This window comes from Homo sapiens, chromosome 4, assembly GCF_000001405.40.
Source record: "Homo sapiens chromosome 4, GRCh38.p14 Primary Assembly".
NCBI classification, from domain to species: Eukaryota; Metazoa; Chordata; class Mammalia; order Primates; family Hominidae; genus Homo; species Homo sapiens.
Window position 1 is genome coordinate 39831224 of NC_000004.12, and position 16876 is coordinate 39848099.

At 42.3% G+C, this 16876-nt stretch overlaps 1 protein-coding gene across 6 annotated transcripts in view; it reads right to left on the reverse strand.

Moving 5' to 3' along the window:
- Positions 1-16876, reverse strand: part of PDS5A (PDS5 cohesin associated factor A) — a 155049-nt gene that overhangs the window by 8361 nt on the left and 129812 nt on the right. For 3 of the 6 annotated variants that reach the window (NM_001100399.2, XM_011513672.3, XM_047449932.1), the window contains 4 exons: positions 14595-14657; positions 13433-13578; positions 10725-10833; positions 6633-6985 (listed from right to left, as the gene is read on the reverse strand). In NM_001100399.2, coding sequence (NP_001093869.1) covers positions 6633-6985; positions 10725-10833; positions 13433-13578; positions 14595-14657 — 671 coding nt within the window. Of the gene's footprint in view, positions 1-6254; positions 6352-6628; positions 6986-10724; positions 10834-13432; positions 13579-14594; positions 14658-16876 lie in introns of those variants that run through there. The other 3 variants (XR_001741185.2, XR_001741188.2, XM_047449931.1) reach the window with 2 other exon arrangements.

The window sequence follows — 16876 nt, forward strand, 5'->3', positions numbered from 1 at the left end:
GAGTAGCTGGGACTAGAGGCGCGTGCGCCACCATGCCCGGCTAAATTTTGTATTTTTATTATAGATGGAGTTTCACCATATTGGCCAGGCTGGTCTTGAACTCCTGACCTCGTGATCTGCCCACCTTGGCATCCTAAAGTGCTGGGATTACAGGCGTGAGCCACCGTGCCTGGCCATAGAGTTGTTTTAAGGATTCAATGGGTTAACAAATAAAGAGCTTATTATTGAGCTTGACTTATAATAAGCACTATATTACCATTAGCTGTTTTTTAATGCAGCAAAATTTAAAATTATGATAAAATATATATCAAATACAATTTATCATTTTAACCATTTTTAAGTATAAAGTTTAATGGCATTAAGAATATAAAGGGATGGGTGCGATGGCTCACGCCTGCAATCCCAGCACTTTGGGAGGCCAAGGTGGGCGGATCACCTGAGGTCGGGAGTTCAAGACCAGCCTGACCAACGTGGAGAAACCCTGTCTCTACTAAAAATACAAAATTAGCCAGGCTTGGTGGCGCATGCCTGTAATCCCAGCTACTAGGGAGGCTGAGGCAGGAGAATTGCTTGGACTGGAAGGCGGAGGTTGCGGTGAGCCGAGATCACACCATTGCACTCCAGCCTAGGCAACAAGAGCGAAACTCGTCTCAAAAAAAAAAAAAAAAAAAAAAAAAAAAAGAATATTAGGGGTCTGGCTGCCCAACACGGTGAAACCCGTCTCTACTACAAATACAAAAATTAGCCGGGTGTGGTGGCGCACATCTGCAGTCCCAGCTGCTCCGGAGGATGAGGCACAAGAATCCCTTGAATGAACCCGGGAGGCAGAGGGTGCAGTGAGCCGAGATCTCACCATTGTACTCCAGCCTGGGTGACAGAGCAAGACTCCATTTCAAAAACAAAACAAAACAAAAACCCAAAAACAAGAATATAAGGGGTCTTCAAAAAGTTTGTGGAAAATGAATGTTACGAAATAATTATGCATGGATTTCAATTATTTTTTTTTTTGAGTTGGAGTCTCACTCTGTCGCCCAGGCTGGAGTGCAGTGGTGTGATCTCTGCTCACTGCAAGCTCCGCCCCCTGGGTTCATGCCATTCTCCTGCCTCAGCCTCCCGAGTAGCTGGGAGTACAGATGCCTGCCACCACGCCTGGCTAATTTTTTGTATATTTAGTAGAGACGGGATTTCACCGTGTTAGCCAGGATGGTCTCGATCTCCTGACCTCGTGATCCACCCGCCTCCCAAAGTGCTGAGATTATAGGCATGAGCCACCGTTCCTGGCTCAAAATTTTTTTTTTGCACCAAAATAAACTCATACTAACTTGTTATGTCTGATCAGGATCTAGTTTGAGGCACTGAAAATATTTGAGAAGTTTGAGGGCTGGGGCAGGAAGATTGCTTGGGGGCAGGAAGATTGCTTGATTCCAGGAGTTTGAGACCAGCCTGGGCAATACAGCAAGACCCAAAAAATTTAAAAAGAAATTAGCCAGCCATGGTGGTGCACACCTATGGTCCCAGCTACTTGGGAGGCTGAGGCAAGAGGATTGCTTGAGCCTCAGTGCTCTCATAGAACAAAGTGAGCCATGATGGTGCCACTGCACTCCAGCCTGAGTGACAGAGTGAGACTGGTCTCTCAAAAAAGTTTGAAGAGGCTGGGCGTGGTGGCTCACGCCTGTAATCCCAGCACTTTGGGAGGCCAAGGTGGGTGGATCACCTGAGGTCAGGAGTTCAAGACCAGTCTGGCCAACATAGTGAAACCCCATCTCTACTAAAAAAAAGAAAAAAATAATAAATAAATAAATAAATATATATATAAAATTAGCTGGGTGTGGTGGCGGGCGCCTGTAATCCCAGATACTAGGGAGGCTGAGGCAGGAGAATTGCTTGAACCTAGGAGGCAGAGGTTGCAGTGAGCTGAGATCGTGTCGTTGCACTCCAGCCTGGGCCACAAGAGTGAAACTCCGTCTCAAAAAAAAAAAAAAAAAAAAAAAAAGAAAAAAGTTTGAAGAGAGTCCCTATCAGAGCAATAGGATTCTGCTAAAATTGAAGCAAGAAAAGCATCAAATGTCTGGTGAAGCTTGGGTGGAAGAATGGCGAAATCACTGATGCTTTAGGAAAAGTTTATGAGACAATGCCCCAAAGAAATCAGTAGCTTAAAATTGGTATTTTGTGTGTGTGTGACAGGGTCTCCTCGGTCACCCAGGCTAGGGTGCAGTGAGGAGTGGCATGATCATGACTCACTGTAGCCTCGACCTCCCAGGCTCAGGTGATCCCCTCACCTCAGCCTCTGAAGTAGCCAAGACTATGGGCACATACCAGACACCTGGCTAATTTTTCTATTTTTTTTGTAGATATGGGGTTTTGCCATATCGCCCAGGCTGGTCTTAAACTCCTAGGCTCCAGTCATCTGCCAGCCTCAGCCTCCCAAAGTGGTAGGATTATAGGCATGAACCATGATGACCAGCTGGATAAATTGTTTCAGGAAGGGTTGAGATGATGTTGAACATCATGCCCTCCACATCAATTTACGGGGAAAAAAATTCATCTTGTTTCTGCCGATTCAAGAGGACTGACAAGAGCAGAAACAATAGCCAACACTGTGGTCATTTCAACTGGTTCAGCTTACAAAATTCTGACTGAAAAATTAAAGTTGAGCAAGCTTTCCACTCAATGGCTGTTAAAACCCTTTGCACCCAGATCAGCTGTAGACAAGAGCAGAGCTTTGGATAGAAAGTCTAGACAAGTACGATCAAGATCCTGAAGCACTTATTCGAAGAACTGCAATAGGAACTGAAACATGGCTTTACCAGTACAATCCCGAAGACAAAGCACAATCAAAGCAATTTAGCTGGGCACAGTGGCGCGTGCCTGTAGTCCCAGCTACCAGGGAGGTTGAGCCTGCAGTGAGGCAAGACCGCATCATTGCACTCTAGCCTGGGCAAGAGAGCCAGATATTGTCTCAAAAAAAAAAAAAAAAGGGTACTAAGAGGTCAAAGTGGCCAAGTGGTCCAGTGAAAGGAAAAGCAGACTGGTCAAGAGTAAAGGTCATGGCAATAGTTTTTTGGGATGCTCAAGGCATTTTGCTTGTTGAGTTTCTGGAAAGCCAACAAATGATAATATCTGCTTATTATGAGTGTTTGGACAAAGTCAAAGCTTTAGCAGAAAAATGCCTGGGAAAGCTTCACCAGAGAGTCCTCCTCCACCATGACAATGTTCTCGCTCATTCCTCTCATCAGACAAGGGCAATTCTGCAAGAGTTCCCATGGGAAATCATTAGGCATCCAGCTTACAGTACTGATTTGGCTCCTTCTGACTTCTTTTTGCTTCTTAATCTTAAAAAAATTTTTAAAGAGTGCCAATTTTTCTTTGGTCACTAATGAAAAAAAGACTGTTTGAAATGGTTAAACTCACAGGACCCTCAGTTCTTTGGGGATGGACTAAATGGCTTCTATCATTGCTTACAAAAAGTGTCTTGAAGTTGATGGAGCTTATGTTGAGAAAGTTTCTATTTTTATCTCTTAACTCCAGTTTTCCATGACCTTTCTGAAGTGGCCAATTATTTATATTGTGTACAACCATTACCACCATCCATCTCTAGAACTTTCTCACGTTCCCCGATTGAAACTCCATCCCCATTAAACACTAAAGCCTATTCCCGCTAACCTCAGCCCCAGGCTCAAGCAATCCTCCCACCTCAGCTCCCTGAGTACAGGCACACAACATCATGCCCGACTAATTTTGTATTTAATTTATATTTTTATTTTTGAGATGGAGTCTCACTCTGTCGTCCAGACTGGAGTGCAGTGGCACAATCTCTGCTCACTGCAAACTCTACCTCCCGGGTAGCTGAGATTACAGGGGTGCGCCACCACACCCAGCTAATTTTTTGTATTTTCAGTGGAGACAGGCTTTCACCATATTGGTCAGGCTGATCTTGAACTCCTGACCTTAAAAGATCTGCCCACCTTGGCTTGGCCTCCCAAAGTGCTGGGATTATAGGTGTGAGCCACCGCACCTGGCCATAAACATTTAATTTAACCACCTACTGTCACTGAGATTAGAAAACCATCACAGAATACTGTATTCTGAATAACACACTGCCCATTGATCTACTACTAGCATATTTAAGATCTGTAATGTGCCTTTTCAGTCTGTAAAGAGAAGGCCAAATGCCATTTGATGATATTGGGGCACATAGTGCAGCTAAAAGCAAAGCAATGGATTTTACAATGCTGTATATGAGAGAAGGTCTAAATGCTACTGAAAAAGTTTTCAGGGTTCCAGCATGTATCCGTTTTTTTGTCTTTCTGTTTTTTTGAGACAGAGTATCGCTCTGTTTCCCAGGCTGGAGTGTAGTGGCCGGATCTCGGCTCACTGCAACCCCCGCCTCCCGGGTTCAAGCAATTCTCCTGCCTCAGTCTCGCGAGTAGCTGGCACTACAGGTGTGCACCACCAAGCCCAGCTAATTTTTGCATTTTTAGTAGAAATGGGGTTTCTCCATGTTGGCCAGACTAGTCTGAAACTCCTGACCTCAGGTGATCCGCCTGCCTTGGCCTCCCAAAGTGCTGTGATTACAGGCGTGAGCCACCGTGCCTGGCCACAAGTATGTATCTGTACATTTTAGTTAGATGGTACAGGGACAGCTAATGGGAGGTAAGGTCAGGTGGCTTAGGTAGCCTGTGTGTGATGATTAGTACTTTTTTGTGTGTAGGTGAAGAATAGGACAGATCTCTTGAAACCGTTCAGAGAATTTTGGCAATCTCCAGGGAAACGTTCAACTTTTGTATAACTGAAAATGTATGTTAAGGGGTAAGGAAACTAGAATTTAAAACAATAGTAACAATAACAGTTGGGCGTTTATTTTGTACTAGGCACTTTGCTAGGCGCTTTCTTTATATTTACTGATCCATTTAATTCGTAGAGCAACCCTTTAAGATACATACTTTCATACTAATGAAAAAGGGAGGCAGAGGTTCAATAAAGGTCCAGGTTTGAGAAGAAAGTCATGTAAAATTTGTCCCTAATACTGGCTTTCATTACTACACTTATTAGTTAATAGAAACAGAAGTGAGTAGGAGGAACACACTAGTACTCAGATCAGGTTTGAGCCTTCTGGATCAGATGCCATGAGAGGATGTGAAAGATTGCCAAGAGGGCACTTAGATGATGTAGAAATTTAATAGCCCAAAATTTCAGAATTCCGTAAATGCTAATTTTTTTGTTTTTTTTGAGATGGAGTCTCGCTTTGTCGCCCAGGCTGGAGTGCAATGGCGCAATCTCTGCTCACTGCAACCTCTGCCTCCTGGGCTCAAGTGATTCTTCTGTCTCAGCCTCCTGAGTAGCTGGGATTACAGGTGCCCATGCCCACGACCACACCCGGGATTTTTTTCTATTTTTTTTTTTTTTTTTTTTGTATTTTTAGTAGAGATGGGGTTTCACCATGTTGGCCACGTTGGTCTCAAACTCCTGACCTCACGTGATCTACCCGCCGTGGCCTCCCAAAGTGTTGGGATTACAGGCGAGAGTCACTGGGCCCAGCTCATAAATGATAATATTTTAAATGTTTTTACACACATGCTTCAGTAACTTTTTTTTTTTTTTTTGAGACACAGTCTCCTTCTGTCACCCAGGCTGGAGTGCAGTGTCGCAATCTTGGCTCACTGCAACCTCTGCCTCCTGGGTTCAAGTCATTCTCCTGCCTCAGCCTCCTGAGTAGCTGGGATTACAGGCATGCACCACCACACCTGGCTAACTTTTTGCATTTCCTTTTTTTTTTTTTTTTTTTTTTAGTAGAGATGGGGTTTCACCATGTTGGTCAGGCTGGTCTTGAACTCCTGACCTCAGGTGATCCACCCACCTAGGCCTCCCAAAGTGTTGGGATTACAGGCATGAGCCACTGAGCATGGCCTGACATTGAGTTTTATAAAAATACTGAAGCAGGATAGTGGGGGTATCCTGAGCTGATCAAATCTGGGACTCTTCCCTAGAAGAAACTCAAATGCCTACAGTCTAATTCAGGGGTAAATGAGTTAGGTATGTAAGGAAAAAAGGAGGATGAGTTAAGTTCTAAGGCCAAGGTGAAAGGAGCCACCTTCTAGATTTCCAACAGGAAAAGTCTGAAATCTCAGCACAAGAATGATCAAAGATGAACAGTTTGGTAAGTTGTTTTTCTGGGCAGGGTGGGGAAGATGTAAGTTGTTGACCTGTGTTAGAATTAACTATAACACGAAGAATTAAAGAGTGGGACCTATTACCTATTGACATTTCGTGACTGTTTTCTCCATTTCTGGGACCTTGTATCCAAAAGGTAGCCCTTATTTTATGTAAACCTCTGCAACCACTTGAAAGGCACTAAGCAAAAGAAATATTTGTCTTGTTAATAAAAATAGAAATATCAAAATACCATATCCTAAATAAAAATTACACAAAGAAAAAAGATTTTTCTTCAAATTTGTGCCTTAAAACTGGAAGTTATGAGATAATAACAGATGCTATTATAAACGGACCCAGGAAAACCAGATGCAGGTTTCTCTCTCAAATGCTTAGGTGTTTGGGGTGACTGGCACTAAGAATATACTACGAATAAAACAAAATGTCTAAATTCCCACTTGAGGAAGAATGGCGTACATTACCTTTGTAAGTCAATTTGTCTTTCTGCTGGTGCTGCCTTTTTGGCTAAATCTTGCAGTTTGGGTGCTTTGGCATTACCTGCTTCCAAACCCCCAGGGCTCTCCTGACCCACTGCAGCTCTCTTCCTTCCCTTGTTAATAGGTTTATTTAGATCATCATTTTTGGTAGCATTGCCCTGAGATTCAGACTTGGGTCGACGTCCTCTCCTGGGTTTGGAAGGGGCGGGAGGTCCCGATTCATCTACTTTCTCATCTGTTTTTTGTTGGATATTCTCTGCACCAGCTGCTGTTACTGTTCTTTTCTTTCCTCGGTCACTGCTGATGTTGCCCTGGGTAGCCTGATCAGAATTAATTTCCTAAAAAAGCACAAAACAATTCTATAAACACAAATTCCTTAAATATTAATGATCTCTATTAGAAAAGAGTGTTTTGAAAGTATTTTAAAGGAGTCTGGATTTGAGGGCTTCCAGTTAACTGCTTACATCACATTAGGAAAGTAAGCTCCTTGAGGAGAGTGACTGTGCCTGGTACCTACCATGGTGTATAGCATATATAATGTGCTCAATAAATGCTCATTAAAAAGCAAAGGCTGGGAACAGTGGCTCACGCCTGTAATCGCAGCACTTTAGGAGGCTAAAGCGGGAGGATCGCTTGAGCCCAGGAGTTCCAAACAATCCCCGGCAACATAGTGAGATCCCATCTCTACAAATAATTTAAAAAATTAGCCGGGCATGGTGGCTTGTGCCTGTAGTCCCAGCTACTTGGGAGGCTGAGGTGGGAGGATTGCTTAAGCCTGGGAGGTTGAGGCTACAGTAAGCAGAGATTATGCCACTGGACTCCAGCCTGGGTGACAGAGGGAGATCTTATCTCAAAATAGTAATTGCAAGCCCGGCACGGTGCCTCACGCCTGTAATCTCACTACTTTGGGAGGCCGAGACGGGTGGATCACCTGAGGTTGGGAGTTCAAGACCAGCCTGACCAACATGGAGAAACCCTGTCTCTACTAAAAATACAAAATTAGCCAGGCATGGTGGCCCATGCCTGTAATCCCAGCTACTCAGGAGGCTGAGGCAGGAGAATAGCCGAAATTGCACCATTGTACTCCAGCCTGGGCAACAAGAGCAAAACTCTGTCTTGGGGGGAAAAAAATTGCAATAATAAAAATATAAAGCACAAATAGTACTTGAAAAATAAAATCTAACTCTCAATGTAACTCAATGTCTATGGCAATATGCATTTTTCTATGTAAGTTTGTTTAAGTCAAGACTGCTTAATTTTACACAAGGATCCCACAATATTCTAATCTATTGGTATCTGGATTCTAAGAGTTTTGATAATAAGAGGTAACTTGTTACCTGAATCCACTGACATGCTGTGTTTCAAACACCAAGCAGAAAGAGTTTAGATAGCAAGAGATTGATCTAAAAATGTAACGTCGGGCGGGCATGGTGGCTCACGGCTGTAATCCCAGCACTTTGGGAGGCCAAGGCGGGTGGATCACGAGGTCAGGAGTTCAAGACCAGCCTGGTCAAGATGGTGAAACCACATCTCTACTAAAAATACAAAAATCAGCTAGGCATGGTGGCAGGTGCCTATAATCCAGCTACTCAGGAGGCTGAGGCAGGAGAATGGTTTGAACCCAGGAGGCGGAGGTTGCAGTAAGCCGAGATCGCGCCACTGCACTTTAGCCTGGGCAACAGAGAAAGACTCCATCTCAAAAAGTATCCTCATGTAGCTGAGTTCAGAAAATGAGAGTTTGGATAGGAAAAGTTAAGCTACTGTGGTGTAACTGCATAATCCTAGTATATTTAATGTACCCAAGGGTAATATCTAAAATATTTGATGACTACAATAAGTATATGGTGAGCAATAAAAAGATAAGCACTTCAAGAATATGATTCTGGGGGGGGGGGGCAGGGGAGGAAATAATATCTTCAAGCCATTCTTACTGAGATAAATTACCAATTTCATTTAATAGTTGAGCCGTAATTCCAGCACTTTGGGAGGCCAAGGTGGGCGAATCACGAGGTCAGGAGTTCAAGACCAGCCTGGCCAACATGGTGAAACCCCGTCTCTACTAAAAATACAAAAATTAGCTGGGCATGGTGGTGCGTGCCTGTAATCCCAGCTACTCAGGAGGCTGAGGCAGGAGAATCGCTTGAACCCAGGAGGCAGAGGTTGCAGTGAGCTGAGATTGTGCCACTGCACTCCAGCCCAGGCGACAGAGACTCCGTCTCAAAAAACAAAAGAAAACAAAACAAAACAGAACAAAAAAAAAACAACTGAAAGAAGACCAGAGAAGTCAAGCGACCTGCTCAAGTCAACACTTAGCCAGTGAGTGGCAGAGCCAAGAGGCAAAAGTCAGATATGTGTGATGCTCCTATCGATTATGCACCACTCCTCTCCTGCCAAAAAATTAAGAAATTGGGTTGGGCATGGTGAGATCCTGTTTCAAAACAAAACAAAACAAAATTGGGCGGTATCGTTTAAAGATCAACAAAGTCGTCAAGCACGGCTCACGCCTGTAATCTCAGCACTTTGGGAGGCTGAGGAGGGTGGATCACCTGAGGTCAGGTGTTCAAGACCAGCCTGTAGCACAGTGGCGTGATCTTGGCTCACTGCAACCTCCACCTCCGCGGTTCAAGCAGTTCTCCTGCCTCAGCCTCCCAAGCAGCTGGGATTACAGGTGCACACCACCACGCCCAGCTAATTTTTGTATTTTTAGTAGAGACGAGTTTTCACCACGTTGGCCAGGCTGGTCTGGAACTCCTGACCTCAGGCGATTTGCCTGCCTCGGCCTCCCAACGTGTTGGAATTACAGGTGTGAGCCACTGCGCCGGGTCGCCTCCCGCATAGCTGGGACTCCAGGCAAGTAATTTTTGCACTTTGTTAGCAGAGACAGGGTTTCACTTCAGGTGATCCACCAAGTCTCACTCTTGTCGCCCAGGCTGGAATGCAATGGCATGATGTTGGCTCACTGCAACCTTCACCTCGAGGGTTCAAGTGATTCTCCTGTCTCGACCTCTTGAGTAGCTGGGATTACAGGTGTGCGCCACCATGCCTGGCTAATATTTTGTATTTTTAGTAGAGACGGGGTTTCACCATGTTGGCCAGGCTGGTCTCCAACTCCTGACCACAAGTGATCCACCCATCTTTGCCTCCCAAAGTGCACGATTACAGGTGTAAGTTACTGCACCCAGCCAAGATGAACTTTTAAAAACACAGTAGAAACAAAGCAAAGGGCTGATCTCTGGTGGGAATCAACAAACTTTTGAAATATTTCAAAAACTCTCAATTCCTTTTTTGAGACAGAGTCTCGCTCTGTCGTTCAGGCTGGAGTGCAATGGCACGATCTTAGCTCACTGCAACCTCCGCCTCCTGGGTTCAAGCAATTCTCCTGCCTCAGCCTCCTGAGTAGCTGAGATTACAGGCGCCTGCCACCACGTCCAGTTAATTTTTGTACTTTTATAGAGACGGGGTTTCGCCATGTTGGCCAGGCTGGTCTCAAACTACTCACCTCATGATCCACCCGCTTCAGCCTCCCAAAGTGCTGGGATTACAGGCATGAGCCAACGCACCAGGCCTCAATTCCTATTCTTTAAAAGAGTTGAAATGGGTAGTATAGGAAAAGGATACCACTACGGGTAGGTGACCACACAAATTTTTTTTTTTTTTTTGGAGGCAGAGTCTGCCTCTGTCACCCAGGCTTGAGTACAATGGCGTTATCTCAGCTCACTGCAACCTCCACCTCCTGGGTTCAAGCAATTCTCCTGCCTCAGCCTCCTGAGTAGCTGGGATTTTGGTGCCAACCACCACGCCCCGGTAATTTTTTTATTTTTAGTAGAGATGATTACAGGTGTAAGCCACTGTGCCCAGCCAGACCACATAAATTCTTATAAAGTGGGTGGAGGTAAGCAGAATCATTTTTGGGAAGTATAGCCGGGGTGCGGGAAGCGGGGAGAAGGTGTGTGGTAATACACACAAGTTTAAAATGTAGCATGTGCATTGAAGTGTTGGCTGTAGATTTCTTATCCCTACGGAAAAACTGTAATAATCTCCATGGAAAAAATCCACTTGTTAAATTTTAAAATTTACCTTATTCTTTACTGGGTCAATATTCTTTACAGGTGTGACTGAAATAATCCTCACAGGGTTCTCTTCATTTTCACTAACTCCAGTTTCTGCTGCCTCTGAACTCTGTTCCCTGTTTAAAACAAATAAACCAAGACTTCATATTTCCATGAAGAGAAAGTTCACTCTCTCACCGTACCAATAAAGAAAGGCTTAGGCTGGTTTCGAAACCTTGACAATTGAAGCAACAATAGCAAGATTCGGATACTCTGTAGTTATAGACTATTGCTTTAAAAATATCATTTTCCATTTAGCTTTGATAAAGTGGTATCAATTTCCATTTTGCCTTAATAACATTAAGACAGAAATGACTGCCTAAGACTACTTGACAAAAGGGTTAATTGTCAAGAGACAAAATAACACAACCACTGTAAGCTTTATCTTTTGGGAATAGAAAATCCTAAAACAAAAATAAAACTACAGACCATAGTATAGTTGTCATTTCCATAGTGTTCTACTAAAAAGGGGGCTGTCAGAAGAGGCTATTTGGTAGGTATTTGAGGCCCCACTATTCTTTAAACCATGTTAACTGATTTCATATCTTGGGCTTCATTTTTGCTAAAAGTGGTTTAAAACATCATTGGTTGAGTTTATTCTTAAGATTTCATGTGTAAGAATAATATCTATAAAAACCACAATATTAAGTGTTCCTAAGAGTAGGGTCAGAAATGATAAAGGTTTGATGTGACGGATATCCTAATTACCCTGATTTGATCACTATACATGCTATGCATATACCAAAATATCACAAACACCCCATAAATATGTACAATTATTATATATCAAAATAAGTATGTTTATGAAAAAAATTGCAGGTAGAAATTCTTATGCAGTAGCTAATATACTGAATACTTAACATGTTAAAATAAACATGGAATATTTTTATAATTAGAAAATGTTAGAACAATGTAAACTTATCCTATTTTTATATATATATATATATATATATATATATTTTAAGAGACAGGGTCTTAGGCTGAAATGAAATATGTAATCATAGCTGATATAGCCTAGAACTCCTGGGCTCAAGTGATCTTCCTGCCTCCGCCTCCTGAGCTCCCAAGTAGCTGGGACTACAAGTGTATGCCCCCATGATGCCCAGATTGGTTTCGAACTCCTGGGCTCCAGTGATTATCCTTCCTCGGCCTCCCAAAGTGCTGGGATTACAGGTGTGAGCCATCACACATGGCCTTTTCTTTTTATTAAGAGACAGGGTCTTGCTTTGTCACCCAGGCTGGAGTGTAGCAGAGACATCATAGCTCACTTTAGACTTGAACTTCTGGGCTCAAGTGATAATCCTGCCTTGGCCTACTAAAGCGCTGGGATCACAGCCATAAGGCACTACACCCAGCCCTCCTATACTAATTTGAGTTAAAAATTAAAAAGCATTTCAATTTATTTAAAAGTTAATGTTTTCATAGTTTTCCTAAGGGTTGAATTTTCTTACGTATAAAAAATAAACATTTTGGGCCAGGCGTGATGGTTCATGACTGTAATCCCAGCACTTTGGGAGTCCAAGGTGGGCAGAGACTAGCCTGGCAATCATGGTGACACCCTGTCTCTACTAAAAATACAGAAATTAGCTGGGAGTGGTGGCGTGTGCCTGTAAGCTCAGGAAGCTGAGGTGTGAGAATCACTTGAAACCAGGAGGTGGAGGTTGCCGTGAGCTGACATCCCATCACTGCACTCCAGCCTGAGTGACGGACAGAGACACTCTGTCTCAAAAATATTAAAAATAAGTATTTTGATATAAATTGGTTGTATTATTAACTCTTATATTATTTTCTGTTAATTTTTCTATACACTTAGAATGCTATATATTAATAGTTTCAAAGTGTGCAGTACATTCTTGATTTCCTCATTGAAAATACTAAAATGTGCCCAGGTGCAGTGGTTTGCGCCTGTAATCCCAGCACTTTGGGAGGCTGAAGGGGGTGGATCACTTGAGCCCAGGAGATCGAGCCCGACCTGGGGAAGATGACGAAACTCCATCTTTATGAAAAGTACAAAAGAAAATTGGCTGGGGGTTGGTGGTGCATGCCTGTAGTCCCAGCTACTTGGGATGCTGAAGCGAGAAGATCCCTAGAGCCCAGGAGTCTGAGGCTGCGGTGAGCTATGATCCTGCCACTGCCCTCCAGCCTAAGCAACAAAGTGAGACCCTGTCTCTTAAAAAAAAATTACATAAAATTAAGAAAAAAAAGAAAATACTGGCTGGGTGCGGTGGCTTACGCCTGTAATCCCAACACTTTGGGAGGCTGAGGCAGGCGGATCACCTCAGGTCAGGAGTTCGAGACCAGCCTGGCCAACATGGTGAAACACCGTCTCTACTAAAAATACAAAAATTAGCGGGGCGTGGTGGCAGGCGCCTGTAATTCCAGCTACTCGGGAGGCTGAGGCAGGAGAATTGCTTGAACCCGGGAGGCAGAGGTTGCAGTGAACCAAGATTGCGCCATTGCACTCTAGCCTGGGCGGGGACAAGAGCGAGACTTTGTCTCAAAAAAAAAAAAAAAACAAAAAAAAACCCAGAAAAGAAAATACTAAAATTCATCAATATTATTTTGTACCAGAACACCGCTAATGACAGAAGACCATTTTATGAGACAGCACTTTAGGAATAAAAGATAAACCAAGTAGTGAGTGCTAGTAACAAAATAATTGGAGAGAAAAGTTGCCTTGATCGATTTCCGGTTGAAGGGTTCAGCTCTGAATTTACATTAATATTGCTTCCAGTCTCAGTGCCAGTGCTTCTAACATAGGGTTTCCTTCCCGTTGCTGATAAAGGCTTATTTACTGCACCTAGTACTCCAGCAGGCTTTGGCTAAAAACAAAAACAAAAAACCCCCCAAAAACACACACGTTTATACCTTACCATGTATACATGTAAATTTAGACACAAGTAAGAGATATTGTTAAGTGCTAATTAGTTAAATTTACCAGAAATGTTCATTCTGGGCCAGGCATACTGGCTCCTGACTGCAAATCCCAGCACTTTGGGAGGTGGATCACTTGAGGCCATGAGTTCAAGACCACTCTGGCCAAAAGAGTGAAACCCAACCTCTACCAAAAATACAAAAATTAGCCAGGTGTGGTGGTATAAGCCGGTAGTCCCATCTACTCGATAGACTGAGGCATGAGAATTGCCTGAACCCAGGAGGTGAAGGTTGCAGTGAGCTGAGATCGCAACATTGTACTCCAGCCTGGGTGACAAAATGAGACTGTCTCAAGAAAAAAAAAGATCATTCTGTAAAATTGTGTTTGGTTGCCTTAATACAATCAAAAGTCATAAGCATATCTCTACTTAATAATAACTAGGTAATATTAATGTATCCTTTATTATTCAATCAAAATACAAAGTTCCCCTAAAATATAGCAAAATACATACATAATAAATGCTCCTATAAATAAACTATTGGATATATATATAGTAATAGTTTAGGAACTATTTACAAAAAACTAAATTTCCTTTTGCTGTTTTAGGTGTCACCATATTACTTACATAGAACATGAATTGTCTAATTCATTAGTAGTATAAAATTATTTCTTTTATCTTATATACCTAAGTTGGTTATACCATTTCCCAGGAAAGTCTTCTTTGTGAATTGTAAATAAACTGTGCTTAACATTACTGATGAGAACACACAGTGGCATTTCAGAGGAGTGGTTGCTGGCAGAAAAATTCTAAAAGCATGGCTGCTTTAGATGCTTTAAATCCATAATGTGATCCCTAAGAATCAGGAACTATACAATCTAGTGGTCATTTAAAGGTATTTCTAGGAATAGCAGAAGCAAGATACACATGAAACAAAGATCTCAAAATTATTAAGTAAATAATACCTTTCCTGTTAACAGAAGTACTCTTGTCTCTTCTGAAATATAACTCTTATCGTTACAGAAGTCCTATTAAAAAAAAAAAAGAAAAAGAAAAAAGAAACACCAATCAAAGGAACATGAGTATTTTAATTATCTCAATAAGGCTTTTTAGGTATTGTGCCTTGCAATAATAAATACACTTGTGCTAACACATATACCAATTTATCAAACAATCAAAACAATCAAAGCCATACCATAAGTCTAGCTTTAAATTAAACTGATGGCACGCAGACTTAGGCAAATGTCAAAGATAAATTTCCTAAATCACACCATAAATAAAGCACACACATGTTTTCATACGGTTCAATGCAGTTTATTCATTAAATTTATTCACTGAATTCCACCACATCATAAATTCGGGCCGGGTGTGGTGACTCATGCCTGTGAGCCTCATCCCAGCACTTTGGGAGGCCAAAGTGGGTGGATCACCTGAGGTCAGAAGTTCGAACCCGCCTGGCCAACATGGTGAAACCCTGTCTCTACAAAAATACAAAATTAGCTAGGCCGGGTGGCATGCGCCTGTAATGCCAGCTACTCAGGAGGTTATGGCAGGAGAATCGCTTGAACTCGGGAGGCAGAGGCTGCGGTAAGCCGAGATCGTGCCATTGCACTCCAGCCTGGGTGACAAGAGTGAAACTCCATCTCAAAAAACATAAGTAGACCAACTGTCAAAATACAATTAAGTGAATTATGTTCTTTGACAGCTGTGATATTAACAATACACGATTTAAACCAAATGTGGAAAATGATAGCACTTTGAGAGTTATATCTATATAAAAATTAGGAGTTCAAACTTGATCTCTTGATGCCTTTTCCTGCTTAATATCTGAAAATGGCAAACAAACCACAATGTTGTGTCAGTGAAGCAAAACTAGCTACTAAACTCAGGAAATATAATTAAGTTTTAAATAATCCTATTAAAAAATATTTTTTATTGTATTAAATTTACCTTCACAGAAGTAGGAAAGAACAAAGTGTGCCTGTGAGGAAATCACAGTTTTGTCATGTGTGCTAGGCAAAGCTGTATCATTTCTTTTGCACAAAGTCTTCTATGCAGCTAAAATAAACATTAAGAAACCTGTGTACCAAAGTTCATTCACTTCATTCATAAAGATATAGTATAGCTTCACTAGGTTGACTAACTTCACAAACCTAGTGTTCTAGGGTTTATGAATTTATAACACATTAAAAGCAACATGTTACATAAATAAGGAACGTTGCATACTGAAAACAGAAAAACCTAAGTTGTTATTATTAAGAAGACTAAAACTCTGTAACACTGAAGGTAACAAAAGAAAAAAAAAATTGTTATCTATGAGTCCAGATAAGGTGTAGTGACAAGTAGGAATTTAATTCTTGATGATGGTATCACCACTGTTACATAGATTCTATTTGGTACTATTCTATTCATGATGGTCCTGGGTCAGCAACAGGATTAATTTTAATTCAACAGCTCACTTAAGAATATCTTATAGGCTGGGCATGGTGGCTCATGCAATCCCAGCACTTTGGGATGCTGGAGGTGGGTTGATCACTTGAGCCCAGGAGTTTGAGGCCTGGCCAACATGATGAAACCACCTGTCTACAAAAAAGTTAAAAAATTAGCCAGGCATGGTGACACATGCCTGTAGTCACAGCTACTTGAGAGGCTGAGGTAGGAGAACTGATTGAGCCAGGGAGTTGGAGGCTGCAGTGAGCCAAGATCAAGCCACTGCACTCCAGCGTGGGTGACGGAGACTCAAAAAAAAAAAATTTTTTTTATACAGATCAGTGGATTCAATTAGAGAGCATACTTTTGCAAATTCTCATTATTTCTATCAAAAGCAAGGCACAGTTATGTGTTCAATACTAAATCAGTAATAAAAATCAGATTACATTTTAGCAAACTTTTAGTAAAGTACGGCATTCAAAGTAGGAAGCTCCATTTATTTCTTGGAATGTGCATTTGGAGAATTCTCTAAGCTAGGGGTCTCCAACCCACGAACTGCAGACTGGTATGGGTTATGGGTCATGGGTCTGCGGCCTGTTAGGAACTGGGATACACAGCAGGCAGTGAGTGGCTGGCGAGCAAGCATTACCACCTGAGCTCTGCCTCCTGTCGGATCAGCGGCAGCATGAGATTCTCACAGAAGCACAAACCCTATGGCGAACTATGCCTGCGAGGGATCTAGGCTGTGTGCTCCTTATGAGAATCTAACTAATGCCTGATGACCTGAGGTGAAATAGTTTCATCCTGAAACCATCTC